Raw genomic sequence first — 14,318 nt, forward strand, 5'->3', positions numbered from 1 at the left:
ATTAGACAAAATGGCTAACTAGAATAAACAGTGTAGAGAAGACCTTAAATGACCCGATGGAGCTGAAAACCATGGCACGAGAACTATGTGATGCATGCACAAGCTTCAGTAGCTGATTCAATCAAGTGGAAGAAAAGGTATCAGTAATTGAAGATCAAATGGATGAAATGAAGTGAGAAGAGAAGTTTAGAGAAAAAAGAGTAAAAAGAAATGAAAAAGCCTCCAAGAAATATGGGACTATGTGAAAAGACCAAATCTATGTCTGATTGGTGTACCTGAAAGTGACAGGGATGGAACCAAGTTGGGAAACACTCTTCAGGATATTATTCAGGAGAACTTCCCCAACCTAGCAAGGCAGACCAACATTCAAATTCAGGAAATACAGAGAACGCCACAAAGATACTCCTCGAGAGGAGCAACTCCAAGACACATAATTGTCAGATTCACCAAAGTTGAAATGAAGGAAAAAATGTTAAGGGCAGCCAGAGAGAAAGGTCGGGTTACCCACAAAGGGAAGCCCGTCAGACTAACAGCGGATCTCTTGGCAGAAACTCTACAAGCCAGAAAAGAGTGGGGGCCAATATTCAACATTCTTAAAGGAAAGAATTTTCAACCCAGAATTTCATATCCAGCCATACTAAGCTTCATAAGTGAAGGAGAAATAAAATCCTTTACAGATTCAAATGCTGAGAGATTTTGTCACCACCAGGCCTGCTGTAAAAGATCTCCTGAAGGAAGCACTAAACATGGAAAGGAACAACCGGTACCAGCCACTGCAAAAACATGCCAAATTGTAAAGACCATTGAGGCTAGGAAGAAACTGTATCAACTAACGAGCAAAATAACCAGTTAACATCATAATGACTGGATCAAATTCACACATAACAATATTAACCTTCAATGTAAATGGGCTAAATGCTCCAATTAAAAGACACAGACTGGCAAATTGGATAAAGAATCAAGACCCATCAGTGTGCTGTATTCAGGAGACCCATCTCACGTGCAGAGACATACATAGGCTCAAAATAAAGGGATGGAGGAAGATCTACCAAGCAAATGGAAAACAAACAAAAAAAGCAGGGGTTGCAATCCTAGTCTCTGATAAAACAGACTTTAAACCAACAAAGATCAAAAGAGACAAGGCCATTACATAAAGGTAAAGGGATCAATTCAACAAGAAGAGCTAACTATCCTAAATATTTATGCACCCAATACAGGAGCACTGAGATGCATAAAGCAAGTCCTTAGAGACCTACAAAGAGACTTAGACTCCCACACAATAATAATGGGAGACTTTAACATCCCACTGTCAACATTAGACAGATCAATGAGACAGAAAGTTAACAAGGATATACAGGAATTGAACTCAGCTCTGCACCAAGAGGACCTAATAGACATCTACAGAACTCTCCACCCCAAATCAACAGAATATACATTCTTCTCAGCACCACATCACACTTATTCCAAAATTGACCACATAGTTGGAAGTAAAGCACTCCTCAGCAAATGTAGAAGAATAGAAATTATAACAAACTGTCTCTCGGACCACAGAGCAATCAAACTAGAACTCAGGATTAAGAAACTCACTCTAAACCACTCAAATACATGGAAACTGAACAACCTGCTCCTGAATGACTACTGGGTACATAACAAATGAAGGCAGAAATAAAGATGTTCTTTGAAACCAATGAGAACAAAGACACAACATACCAGAATCTCTGGGACACATTTAAAGCAGTTTGTAGAGGGAAATTTATAGCACTAAATGCCCACAGGAGAAAGCAGGAAAGATGTAAAATTGACACCCTAACATCACAATTAAAAGAACTAGAGAGGCAAGAGCAAACACATTCAAAAGCTAGCAGAAGGCAAGAAATAACTAAGATCAGAGCAGAACTGAAGGAGACAGAGACAGAAAAAACCCTTCAAAAAATCAGTGAATCCAGGAGCTGTTTTTTTGAAAAGATCAACAAAATTGATAGACCGCCAGCAAGACTAATAAAGAAGAAAAGAGAGAAGAATCAAATAGATGCAATAAAAAATGATAAAGGGGATATCACCACCGATCCCACAGAAATACAAACTACCATCAGAGAGTACTATAAATACCTCTATGGAAATAAACTAGAAAATCTAGAAGAAATGGATAAATTCCTGGACACATACACCCTCCCAAGACTAAACCAGGAAGAAGTCGAATCCCTGAATAGACCAATAACAGGCTCTGAAATTGAGGCAATAATTAATAGACTACCAACCAAAAAAAGTCAAGGACCAGATGGATTCACAGCTGAATTCTACCAGAGGTACAAAGAGGAGCTAGTACCATTCCTTCTTAAACTATTCCAATCAATAGAAAAAGAGGGAATCCTCCCTAACTCATTTTATGAGGCCAGCAACATCCTGATACCAAAGCCTGGCAGAGACACAACAAAAAGAATTTTAGACCAATATACCTGATGAACATCGATGCAAAAATCCTCAATAAAATACTGGCAAACCAAATCCAGCAGCACATCAAAAAGCTTATCCACCACGATCAAGTTGGCTTCATCCCTGGGATGCAAGGCTGATTCAACATATGCAAAGCAATAAACGTAATCCATCATATAAACAGAACCAAAGACAAAAACCACAAGATTATCTGAATAGATGCAGAAAAGGCCTTCGACAAAATTCCACAGCCCTTTATGCTAAAAACTCTCAATAAACTGGGTATTGATGGGATGTATCTCAAAATAATAAGAGCTATTTATGACAAACCTACAGTCAATATCATATACTGAATGGGCAAAAACTGGAAGCATTCCCTTTGAAAACTGGCACAAGACAGGGATGCCCTCTCTCACCACTCCTATTCAACATAGTGTTGGAAGTTCTGGCCAGGGCAATCAGGAAGGACAAAGAACTAAAGGGTATTCAAGTAGGAAAAGAGGAAGTCAAATTGTCCCTGTTTGCAGATGACATGATTGTATATTTAGAAAACCCTATCATCTCAGCCCAAAATCTCCTTAAGCTGATAAGCAACTTCAGCAAAGTCTCAGGATACAAAATCAATGTGCAAAAATCACAAGCATTCCTATACACCAACAACAGACAAACAGAGAGCCAAATCATGAGTGAACTCCCATTCACAATTGCTTCAAAGAGAATAAAATACCTAGGAATCCAACTTACAAGGGATGTGAAGGACCTCTTCAAAGAGAACTACAAACCACTGCTCAACGAAATCAAAGAGGACACAAACAAATGGAAGAACATTCCATGCTCGTGGATAGGAAGAATCAATATCATGAAAATGGCCATACTGCCCAAGGTAATTTGTAGATTCCATGCCATCCCCATCAAGCTACCGATGACTTTCTTCACAGAATTGGAAAAAACTACTTTAAAGTTCATATGGAACCAAAGAAGAGCCCACATTGCCAAGACAATCCTAAGCCAAAAGAACAAAGCTCAAGGCATTAGGCTACCTGACTTCAAACTATACTACAAGGCTACAGTAACCAAAACAGCATGGTACTGGTACCAAACAGAGATATAGACCAATGGAACAGAATAGAGCCCTCAGAAATAATACCACACATCTACAACCATCTGATCTTTGACAAACCTGATAAAAACAAGAAATGGGGAAAGGATTCCCTATTTAATAAATGGTGCTGGGAAAACTGGCTAGCCGTATGTAGAAAGCTGAAACTGGATCCCTTCCTTACACCTTATACAAAAATTAAATTCCAGATGGATTAAAGACTTAAATGTTAGACCTAAAACCATAAAAACCCTAGAAGAAAACCTAGGCAGTAACATTCAGGACATAGGCATGGGCAAGGACTTCATGATTAAAACACCAAAAGCAATGGCAACAAATGCCAAAATTGACAAATGGGATCTAATTAAACTAAGGAGCTTCTGCACAGCAAAAGAAACTACCATCAGAGTGAACAGGCAACCTACAGAATGGGAGAAAATTTTTACAATCTACCCATCTGACAAAGGGCTAATATCCAGAATCTACAAAGAACTTAAACAAATTTACAAGAAAAAATCAAACAACCCCGTCAAAAAGTGGGCAAAGGATATGAACAGACATTTCTCAAAAGAAGACATTTATGCAGCCAACAGACACATGAAAAAATGCTCACCATCACTGGCCATCAGAGAAATGCAAATCAAAACCACAATGAAATACCATCTCACACCAGTTAGAATGGCAATCATTAAAAAGTCAGGAAACAACAGGTGCTAGAGAGGATGTGGAGAAATAGGAACACTTTTACACTGTTGGTGGGACTGTAAACTAGTTCAACCATTGTGGAAGACAGTGTGGTGATTCCTCAAGAATCTAGACCTAGAAATACCATTTGACCCAGCCATCCCATTACTGGGTATATACCCAAAGGATTATAAATCATGCTGCTATAAAGACACATGCACACGTATGTTTATTGTGGCACTATTCACAATAGCAAAGACTTGGAACCAAACCAAATGTCCATCAATGATAGGCTAGATTAAGAAAACGTGGCACATATACACCATGGAATACTATGCAGCCATAAAAAATGATGAGTTCATGTCCTTTGTAGGGACATGGATGAAGCTGGAAACCATCATTCTGAGCAAACTATAACAAGGACAGAAAACCAACACTGCATATTCTCACTCATAGGAGAGAACTGAACAATGAGAACACTTGGACACAGGGAGGGAAACATCACACACCAGGGCCTGTCATGGGGTAGGGGGAGGGGAGAGATAGCACTGGGAGATATACCTAATATGAATGACAAGTTAATGGGTACAGCACACCAACATGGCACGTGTATACATATGTAACAAACCTGCACATTGTGCACATGTACCCTAGAACTTAAAGTATAATAATAATAATAATAAAAGAATGCACTCTGTAGAAAGACCTTATAAATGTAAGATATGTGGGAAAGGCTTTTATTCTGCCAAGTCATTTCAAATACATGAAAAATCTTACACTGGAGAGAAACCCTATGAGTGTAAGCAATGTGGTAAAGCCTTTGTTTCTTTCACTTCCTTTCCATATCATGAAAGGACTCACACTGGAGAGAAACCCTATGAGTGTAAGCAATGTGGAAAAGCCTTCAGATCTACCTCACACCTTTGAAAACATGGTAGGACTCACACTGGAGAGAAACCCTATGAATGTAAGCAATGTGGGAAAGCCTTCAGATCTGTCAAAAATTGTTGAATTCATGAAAGGACACACACTGGAGAGAAACCCTGTGAATGTAAGAAATGTGGGAAAGCGTTCCATAATTTCTCTTCTTTGCAAATACATGAAAGGATGCACAGAGGAGAGAAGCTCTGTGAATGTAAGCATTGTGGGAAAGCATTCATACCTGCCAAGATCCTTTGAATACATGCAAGAACACACAATGGAGAGAAACCCTATGAATGTAAAGAATGCAGAAAAGCATTCAGCTTGCCTACTTCCTTTCATAGACATGAAAAGACATTGGAAGGAAACCCTATGAAGGCAAGCAATGTGGCAAAGCTTTCACTTCTTCCAGTTCTTTTCAATATCATGAAAGAATTCACACTGGGGAGAAACCCTATCAGTGTAAGCAATGTGCGAAAGCCTTTATTTCTTCCACTTCTTTTCAATATCATGAAAGGACTCACATGGGAGAGAAACCCTATGAGTGTATGCCATGTGGGAAAGCCTTCATTTTTCTAGTTGCTTTCGATGTCATGAAAGGACTCACACTGGAGAGAAGCCCTATGAATGTAAGCAATGCAGGAAAGCCTTCAGATCAGCCTCACACCTTCAAATGTATGGAAGGACTCACACTGGAGAGAAACCCTATGAATGTAAGCAGTATGGGAAAGCATTCAGACCTGACAAGATTCTTTGAATACAGATAATGAATGTAAACAATTAACTGTTTGTAATAACTGTATACTAACAAATGTTATCTTTAAATAATTAAGAAGCTATAATAGTAAGGCCGGGTGCGGTGGCTTATGCCCGTAATCCCACCAGTTTGGGAGGCCAAGGCAGATCACGAGGCCAGGAGATCGAGACCATCCTGGTTAACATGGTGAAACCCTGTCTCTACTAAAAATACAAAAAATTAGCCAGGCGTGGTGGTGGGTGCCTGCAGTCCCAGCTACTCGGCAGGCTGAGGCAGGAGAATGGCATGAATCCAGGAGGCAGAGCTTGCAGTGAGCCAAGATTGCGCCACTGCACTCCAGTCTGGGCGACAGAGTGAGGCTCCGTTTCAAAAAAAAAAGCTATAATAAAATATCCCATTGGTGTCATGTATTAGATCAACCTTATACTGTTAAATTGTTATTATTTGGACATTGTGAGTCAGTATAACCATGTGGATAAAATGCCAGGCATCTTTTTTTTTTCGGAAATTTTACTTTTCATGCTTATGTACTTACATTTTTATCTCAACCCTAATTTTTCTTATCTTTTTTTTTTTCCAGAAAAAAATCTCACTCTGTCACCCAGGCTGGAGTGCAGTGGCATGATCTCAGGTCGCTGCAACCTCTGCCTCCAGGGTTCAAGCAACTCTCCTGCTTCAGCCTCCTGAGTAGCTGGGACTACAGGCATGCACCACCACGCCAGGCTAATTTTTTGTATTTTTTAGTAGAGACAGGGTTTCACCATATTGGCCAGGCTGGTCTTGAACTCCAGACCTCATGATTCGCCTGCCTCGGCCTCCCAAAATGCTGGGATTACAGATATGAGCCATCATGCCCAGCCGCAACCCTAATTTTTCATTCAGTCATAATACCAACAGTTATCTCATGTACCTCTGAGTGCCTTCTTCCCAAAAGCCAGCAGTACCATACCTGCTGTCAGCAAGTGTGTAATATACCATAGTGATAAATATGACCAAAAGCCATAAATGACTGTGAGATGTATGAGAATGACACGTCACATTAGTAAGAAGAGAAAAATTTTGGCCATGTTTATGATTTGAAATATGTTTTCCTCTATCACATTTAGAAATATAGTTACAAAATGCCCTTAGTTTTATCCTGATTCATCATGGTCACTGAGGAGCATCGTCTCATATGCCTGGTATGTGACATGTGTCTCTTCAACAGTAAAAGACTTGGCATTGGCTGGGCATGGTGGCTCACGCCTGTAATCCCAGCACTTTGGGAGGCCGAGGTCAGGAGTTAGAGACCATTCTGACCAATATGATCAAACCCCGTCTCTACTAAAAATACAAAAATTAGCGGGGTGTGGTGGCATGCTCCTGTAATCCTAGCTATTCAGGAGGCTGACGCAGGAGACTTGCTTGAATATAGGAGGCAGACGTTGCAGTGAGCCGAGGTCACACCATTCACTCCAGCCTGGGCAACAAGAGCGAAACTCCGTTTCAAAAAAAAAAAAAATGACTTGGACTTGTGGTGAGGGGAGGTCATCTGTAGACTCCTGGACCTGTTTTTGCCTTACTTATTCTCTAAAGACTGAAATATTTCCTAAAATGTATGGGCACTGTTTACCAGAAAGTACCTTAGTTAAAACATAAAATCATTTATGCCTTATAAAGCTATATTTTTTCAATTGCTTTACTGAGTCATAGGAGGCTAATAAATTTGTGTAAATTGTCTAAATACAAGCCTGTCTTTCTCTGATAATGTGCTGCTGAGGCTAACTTGTCAACAGCCTGCTTATCTCAGCAGTGTAAAGTTAACAGCAACATGGAAAAGTTTCTTTTATATATTATGCAACGGCTTAGAACAATTCAGTCACTTCCTTTAAGGTACCAATGAAGCTGCTCTTCAGAAACGCTTATTTAAAACTCCCTAAGATCAAAATCCAGGCACCACAAGATGCAGCATCAGCCACTGACCAAACCCTGTCTGTGTGTGGAGGTGACACACCCAGTCCCAGATAATGTATCCACATCAGTGAAGGGTGGAGTCGTTGATTGTCAGATCACACAAAGTGACTCAGAGCAGGGAAGACAGGGCAGTGAAACCTGGCCAGGCACAGTGGCTCATACCTGTAATCCCACCACTTTGCTAGTCCAAAGCGGGTGGATCACTTGAGGTCAGGAATTCAAGACAAGCCTGACCAACATGGTGAAACCCTGTCTCTACTAAAAATACAAAAACTAGCTGGGCATCGTGGTGTGTGCCTGTAATCCCAGCTAATCAGGATGCTGAGGCAGGAGAATGGCTTGAGCCTGGAGACAGAGGTTACAGTGAACTGAGATCACACCATTGCACCCTGCAGCCTAGTCGACACAGCGAGACTCTGTCTCCAGAAGAAAAAAAGAAAGAGTTGGATGCACCTGAATTCAACCCCTGCCTCATCCTTCTCCCTTGAAGGCCAAATACACCCTGATACTTTTCACCAAAGAGTAGAAACAACACCATTCACTTGACCCCAAATGTGACTTTCCACAGGATGCAAGCACAGTGTTGGAATGGCCAATGACAATGACAATGAAAGTGCAGGCTGAGGGTGATGAACAGGACACACTGGAGAGCCTGACATTGGCCTAGACTATGGGGGTGTCTTGATGCTTCACAAAGAGCCCAAGGAGCACCCCAAAGAGGACACTGGAGCACAGGCCCAAAGGGTGTTCATATGCCAGGAAGGCCACTAATTTTGGAAGTCAGTGACATTGGTGCCTGCTTGAGTCCTGATCCTACAAAGAGTGACCATTGAAAGCTCACACCAGGTGGGGTGGCTCACGCCTGTAATCCCAGCACTTTGGGAGGCCGAGGTGGGTGGATCATCTGAGGTTGGGAGTTTGAGACCAACCAGGCCAGCATGGCAAAACTCCATCTCTACTAAAAATACAAAAAGTAGCTGGGTGTAGTGGCTCACGCCTGTAATCCCAGCCAGTTGGGAGGCTGAGGCACGAGAGTAGCTTAAACTCACAAGGCGGAGGTTGCAGTGTGCTGAGATCGCGCCATTGCACTTCAGCCTGGGTGACAGAGCGAGACTCTGTCTCCAAAAAAGAAAAAAAAAGCTCACTTGGTTCTTCCCCTGATGCCCCCACTGCAGGTGTACCAGGTGTACCAGCTACTCACATTGACCATTGGAGGAGCCCTTTATACTGAGAGAACCTCAGAGCCCCGGAAAGCTAGGGATCCACAGGCAGATGCAGTACTCAGTGATGCCCTCTGCAAGTGATAGTTTTTGTCTTGGGGCTTTTTCCAGACATTCTAGTGAAACAAATGTGGGTTTAGGTAAGAAATAACTTTTAATTCTAGACCTTGAAGCCAGCTTGTCATTAAAACAGTTCATAACAAAAAAGTCTAGGTACTGAACTTGTAAGTAAAAATAGAAATATTAAATAAATATCTTAAAAGATATTAAATAAATACATAAAATGTGCTTGTATATAGGCTTAGAAGGGGTCAGTCAAAAATTCAGGGGCCGCTGGGCAGATTGGCTCATGCCTGTAATCCCAGCACTTTGGGAGGCTGAGGCAGGCAGATCACTTGAGGTCAGGAGTTCAAGACCACCCTGGCCAGCATGGTGAAACACCATCTCTATGAAAAATATAAAAATTAGCTGGGTGTGGTGGCACACACCTGTAACACCAGCTACTCTGGTGACTGAGGCATGAGAATCACTTGAACCAGGGAGGCGGAGGTTGCAGTGAGCCAAGATCATGCTACTGCACTCCAGCCTGGGCTACAGAACAAGACTGTCTCAAAAAAAGAAAAAAGTTCAGGGACCTGGAGGAAGGAGAGAAACTGAAGCATGCTTTGGTAGATAGATATTTCATTTTGACTAAAGATCACTAAAGAGAAAACTGTTCACCTAATGGTTTGTGAGGTAAATACTGGAATATCTAGTGGGTGTCTGGTTTGTCATAGGTAACAAACGTAGCACCATCTAAGTCATCATGGGAAGCTTGTTTCATTGTAGTAAGGTGCTCTTGCACAACACAAAGGATGGGGGATTTCATGAATCACAGCCATTTTCAGGATTGCCCACCCACCCCCATCTCCTTTCCACACCCCTTACTCTTTTTCTATCCATGTCTTTGATTTGACTCGTCCTGAGTTGTATCCTTCATAGTAAGTGGGTAAATGTAAGTGAACTGTGGGTAGTTCTATCAAATTATGGAACTTGAGTAAGGTGTTGTACAGGACCCAGGTCTAGATGCAGTTGCTGAGAAGTACAGGTGGCCCCTGGGGCTTTGACTTGCATCTGCCAAGTGGGGCTGTGTTGGGTGAGCCAGGAACTCATGGAGTCTCTGCTAACTCTGGGTGGCTTCTGAATTGCATGGTTACATAACTGCTTAGTGCTGGAGAATTGATTGGTGTTCAGCAAGCACCACACATTTGATGTCAGGCAAAAAGACAGCATAGGTCAGAACCTTCCACTGACTCACAGTGAGCGAGTGGTCTTTGGTGGGCATTGAGACCCTGGTGGAAGGACTGTGTCCACACTGTGGGGAGGGGCCAGCAGGGTGTGTGTGGAATTCCCAGAAGTAATTTTCTGACTGCTCACATTTCCTTCACACACTACCTAGGAGTGGGCCAGCCTGGCCTGTGTCTCCACGGTCCAAGTGGTTCCTAAGCTTGAAAATGTGTAACTATTGGAGTGTGGGTTTCCTTGTGAGCTGTGGGTGAGGCAGGCTGCCTACCTGAGCTGCCTCCCTTTTGTTTTTTTACAGAATCTTGCTGCCATGGAATTGCTCTTTCCCCACGCATCTGAGAATTTATTTATTTGTTTGTTTGTCTATTTTTCAGATAGAATCTCACTCTGTGGCCAAGGCTGGATCAGTGGCGTGATCTCGGCTCACTGCAACTTGCCTCCCAGATTCTCCTGGCTCAGCCTCCTGGGTAGCCGGGACTGCTGGCACAAGCCACCACACCCTGCTTTTTTTTTTTTTTTTTTGAGACAGTCTTGCTCTGTCACCCAGGCTGGAGTGCAGTGGCAGGATCTCGGCTCACTGCAACCTTTGTCTCCTGGGCTCAAGCAACTGTCCTACCTCAGCCTCCTGAGTAGCTGGGATTATAGGCACCTGCAACCACACTCAGCTAATTTTTGCATTTTTAGTAGAGACGGTTTCACCATGTTGTCCAGGCTGGTCTCGAACTCCTGACCTCAGGTGATCCACCCGCCTCGGCCTCCCAAAGTGCTGAGATTACAGGCATGAGCCACCATGCCCAGCCTATCTCTTGATCTTATTGACAATGCTTTTCTTGTTTTTATTCCTAACTGGAAATACAACACAAAGTTTTACACATTGGGAAATAATTGCTGGGTTGTAGATTATGGGTAAATTCAAATTTACTAGGAAATGTCAGTACAGTATGAATGTAACTTATGAATTAACCATCTCACCTTTCATGCACGTGCCTTTATTCTTGTGATTTGCCAACACTTTGAATTATCTAACTCACTTTTCGTCGCCCATTTACTCTTAAACAGAATCTCTGTGTGATTATTTATTGCTTTTTATTTGTTGCCATTGGTTGAGCATTTTTCTTATATAATCTTTCATCTTCTGTGTAGCAGTATCCAGTCATCCTCTTACATTTGACTAATTTGTAGTTATCTCTCTTTTTCTCCTCGTTTTCTTTTATTTTAATTTGAGACATCCTTGCTCTGTAGCCCAGCTGGAGTGCAGTGTTCTGGTCACTCACTGCAGCATCAAGCTCCTGGGCTTGAGCAATCCTCCCACCTCGGCTTTCTGCCCAGCTAATTTTCAAAAATTTTTTGTAGAGACAAGGGTGTCACGGTTTTGCCCAGGCTGGTCTCGAACTCCCGGGCTCAATCAATCCTCTTGCCTCGGCCTCCCAAAGTGCTAGGATTGCAGACATGATCCACCATGCTCAGCAATTAGGGTTTTTTTTTTAAAACCAAGATATCTGTACATGTTTCTGACAAATATTTTATTTAAAATCTTTAACAACTGCATACTAACCAAGGTTATTCTGTTTTTCATTTTCTGTTTTCCATTTTCATTATGATTACTTGTTTTTCTTTTTTTTTTTTTTGAGACGGAGTCTCGCTGTGTCGCCCAGGCTGGAGTGCAGTGGTGCGATCTCCGCTCACTGCAACCTCCGCCTCCCGGGTTCACGCCATTCTCCTGCCTCAGCCTCCTGAGTAGCTGGGACTACAGGCGCCCGCCACCACGCCCGGCTAATTTTTTGTATTTTTAGTAGAGACGGGGTTTCATCGTGTTAGCCAGGATGGTCTCAATCTCCTGCCCTCGTGATCCGCCTACCTTGGCCTCCCAAAGTGCTGGGATTACAGGCGTGAGCCACCGCGCCTGGCCCCTTGTTTTTCTTTTTTATTCTCATTTTTTCCTAGATAATTACAATACTTTTCCATGTAGTGGCTCTGGCAGCATTTTCATCCTTCATGCAATCATACAGCTACCTCGATGTCCCTTCTCTCTGCCATTCTGAAATTAGACCTCACTCCTTTGTGACTCTTGCTCCCCATCTGCTATGTGATAAAGTCCTGTCTGATTACATCGTCTCCAAAGCCTCTTTTTGGGCTTCTGTTTACCCCTTGGCGTGTCTTGTATTTACTCTCCTCAAAATATATACTTGGAGGCCAGGTGTGGTGGCTCACTCCTGTAATCCCAGTATTTGGGAGGCCGAGGCATGAGGATCCCTTGAGCCCAGGAGTTTAAAACCAGCCTGGGCCACACAGGGAGACCCTGTCTCAAAAACAAAACTTATACTTGCAAGCCCTAAACCCCAACATGGTCATATTTGGACACGAACCCTTTAGGAGATCACATACATTTATAAAGGAGGGCTCTCACAATGGGATGAGTAAGAAGAGAGAGAGAACTCTGTCTCTCCAGCATGTGAGGACACAGCAAGAAGTCATCTAGCTGCAAGCCAGGAAGACACTCTTCACTAGGAACAAAATTGCTGGCAGCAAGATGTTGGACTCCCGAAGCTCCAGAACTGTGAGAAAAAAATTCTGCTGTTTAAGAAACTGAGTCCATGGTATTTTGTTATACCAGCCTCAGCTAAGTCATCCCAAGAGTCCTCACATAAATCATATACTATCGTATATGATATCGTGCTGCATTTGGATCTACCTGGAATGTCTCCAAATCTTCTACTTTTCCTCTTGGACCCATTGTGAGAATAGGTGTGCTTCATAGGCAACTACTGGTGATAGTAGTGATAGCCCATAACGACTTGGGACAAAAAAGGAACTTTTACTTTTTTTTTTTTTTTTTTCTTCCTGAGATGGAGTTTGTGCTCTGTTGTCCAGGCTGGAGTGCAATGGCGTGATCTCAGCTCACTGCAACTTCTGCCTCCTGGGTTCAAGCGATTCTACTGCCTCTGCCTCCAGAATAGCCAGGATCACAGGTGTGCACTACCATGTCCGGATAATTTTTGTATTGGTAGTTAGAGACAAGGTTTCACCATGTTGGCCAGGCTGGTCTTGAACTCTTGATATCAGGTGATCCACTCACTTTGGCCTCCCAAAGTTCTTGGATTACAGGCGTGAGCTACTATGCTCGCCCTGTTTTATGTATATAAATATGTGTGTGTGTATTTCTCTTTTTAATAAAATAGAGACTAGTTCTCACTATGTTGCCCAAGGTGGTCATAGGCCAAACTTTTGGGCTCAAGCAATCTACCTGCCTCGACCACTCAACGTGCTGGGATTAAGGCATGGGAAACTGTGCCAGGCCAAATGAAAGAGACTTAGTGGGAGGCTGGGCGCGGTGGTTCACACCTGTAATCCCAGCACTTTGGGAGGCTGAGGGGGGTGCATCACCTGAGCTCAGGAGTTCAAGACCAGCCTGGACAACGTGGTGAAACCGCATCTCTACCAAAAATACAAAAAATTAGCCGGGCATGGTAGTCCCATTCTCACAGTCACAGAAAGGTTCTTTCTTAAGGATTCCACCTGCTGGAAAGCATTATATACTACCAGAACTTGTTCAATTCAAGAGTGTCTGGTCTCATCTCCATGTCATAATTACAACCAAAATCCTAAAGGGACTGATTTACCACACTGTGGGTGCCATAAGGCCCAATTTTTACCCTCAGCAGCAGCTGTAACATCCCAAGTTACAGCTCTACCCTCCAAAGATGTGCCTGAGGCTTGTGCCTGCCATACTAACATGTTAATATGTCCAAAGCTTCCTGCAGAGCTGTGTCCCAGTCCCAAAGTGCCCCTTTCTAATAAGTCTATATATTGGTCTCAAACATTGGACTCAGTGTCAGATAAATGCTCTCCAATAATCCAAAGACTAACAAATGTCTGGATTTCTTTTCTCCTTTTTTTTTTCTTTAAGAAACATAGTATGGCTCTGTTTCCCAGGCTAGAGTGCAGTGGTGGGATCATAGCTCACTGC

The 14,318-nt window shown here is 42.6% G+C and overlaps 1 protein-coding gene and 2 pseudogenes across 4 annotated transcripts in view; 2 read left to right on the forward strand and 1 right to left on the reverse strand.

Annotated features, from left to right (window-relative positions):
- Nucleotides 1-14,318, forward strand: part of ZNF69 (zinc finger protein 69) — a 92,441-nt gene that overhangs the window by 19,153 nt on the left and 58,970 nt on the right. For 3 of the 4 annotated variants that reach the window (XM_006722874.4, NM_001321163.2, NM_021915.4), the window contains exon 5: nt 6,475-7,622. The exons of the other annotated variant lie outside the window; for it this stretch is intronic. In XM_006722874.4, the coding sequence (XP_006722937.1) occupies nt 6,475-6,476 (2 nt within the window). In that variant the 3' untranslated portion in view covers nt 6,477-7,622. Of the gene's footprint in view, nt 1-6,474; nt 7,623-14,318 lie in introns of those variants that run through there. 4 annotated transcript variants of the gene reach the window in all.
- LOC107985276 (zinc finger protein 440-like) lies at nt 4,830-5,917 on the forward strand (annotated as a pseudogene).
- VN2R15P (vomeronasal 2 receptor 15 pseudogene) lies at nt 8,392-8,627 on the reverse strand (annotated as a pseudogene).

This window comes from Homo sapiens, chromosome 19 (assembly GCF_000001405.40).
Source record: "Homo sapiens chromosome 19, GRCh38.p14 Primary Assembly".
Taxonomy (NCBI): domain Eukaryota; kingdom Metazoa; phylum Chordata; class Mammalia; order Primates; family Hominidae; genus Homo; species Homo sapiens.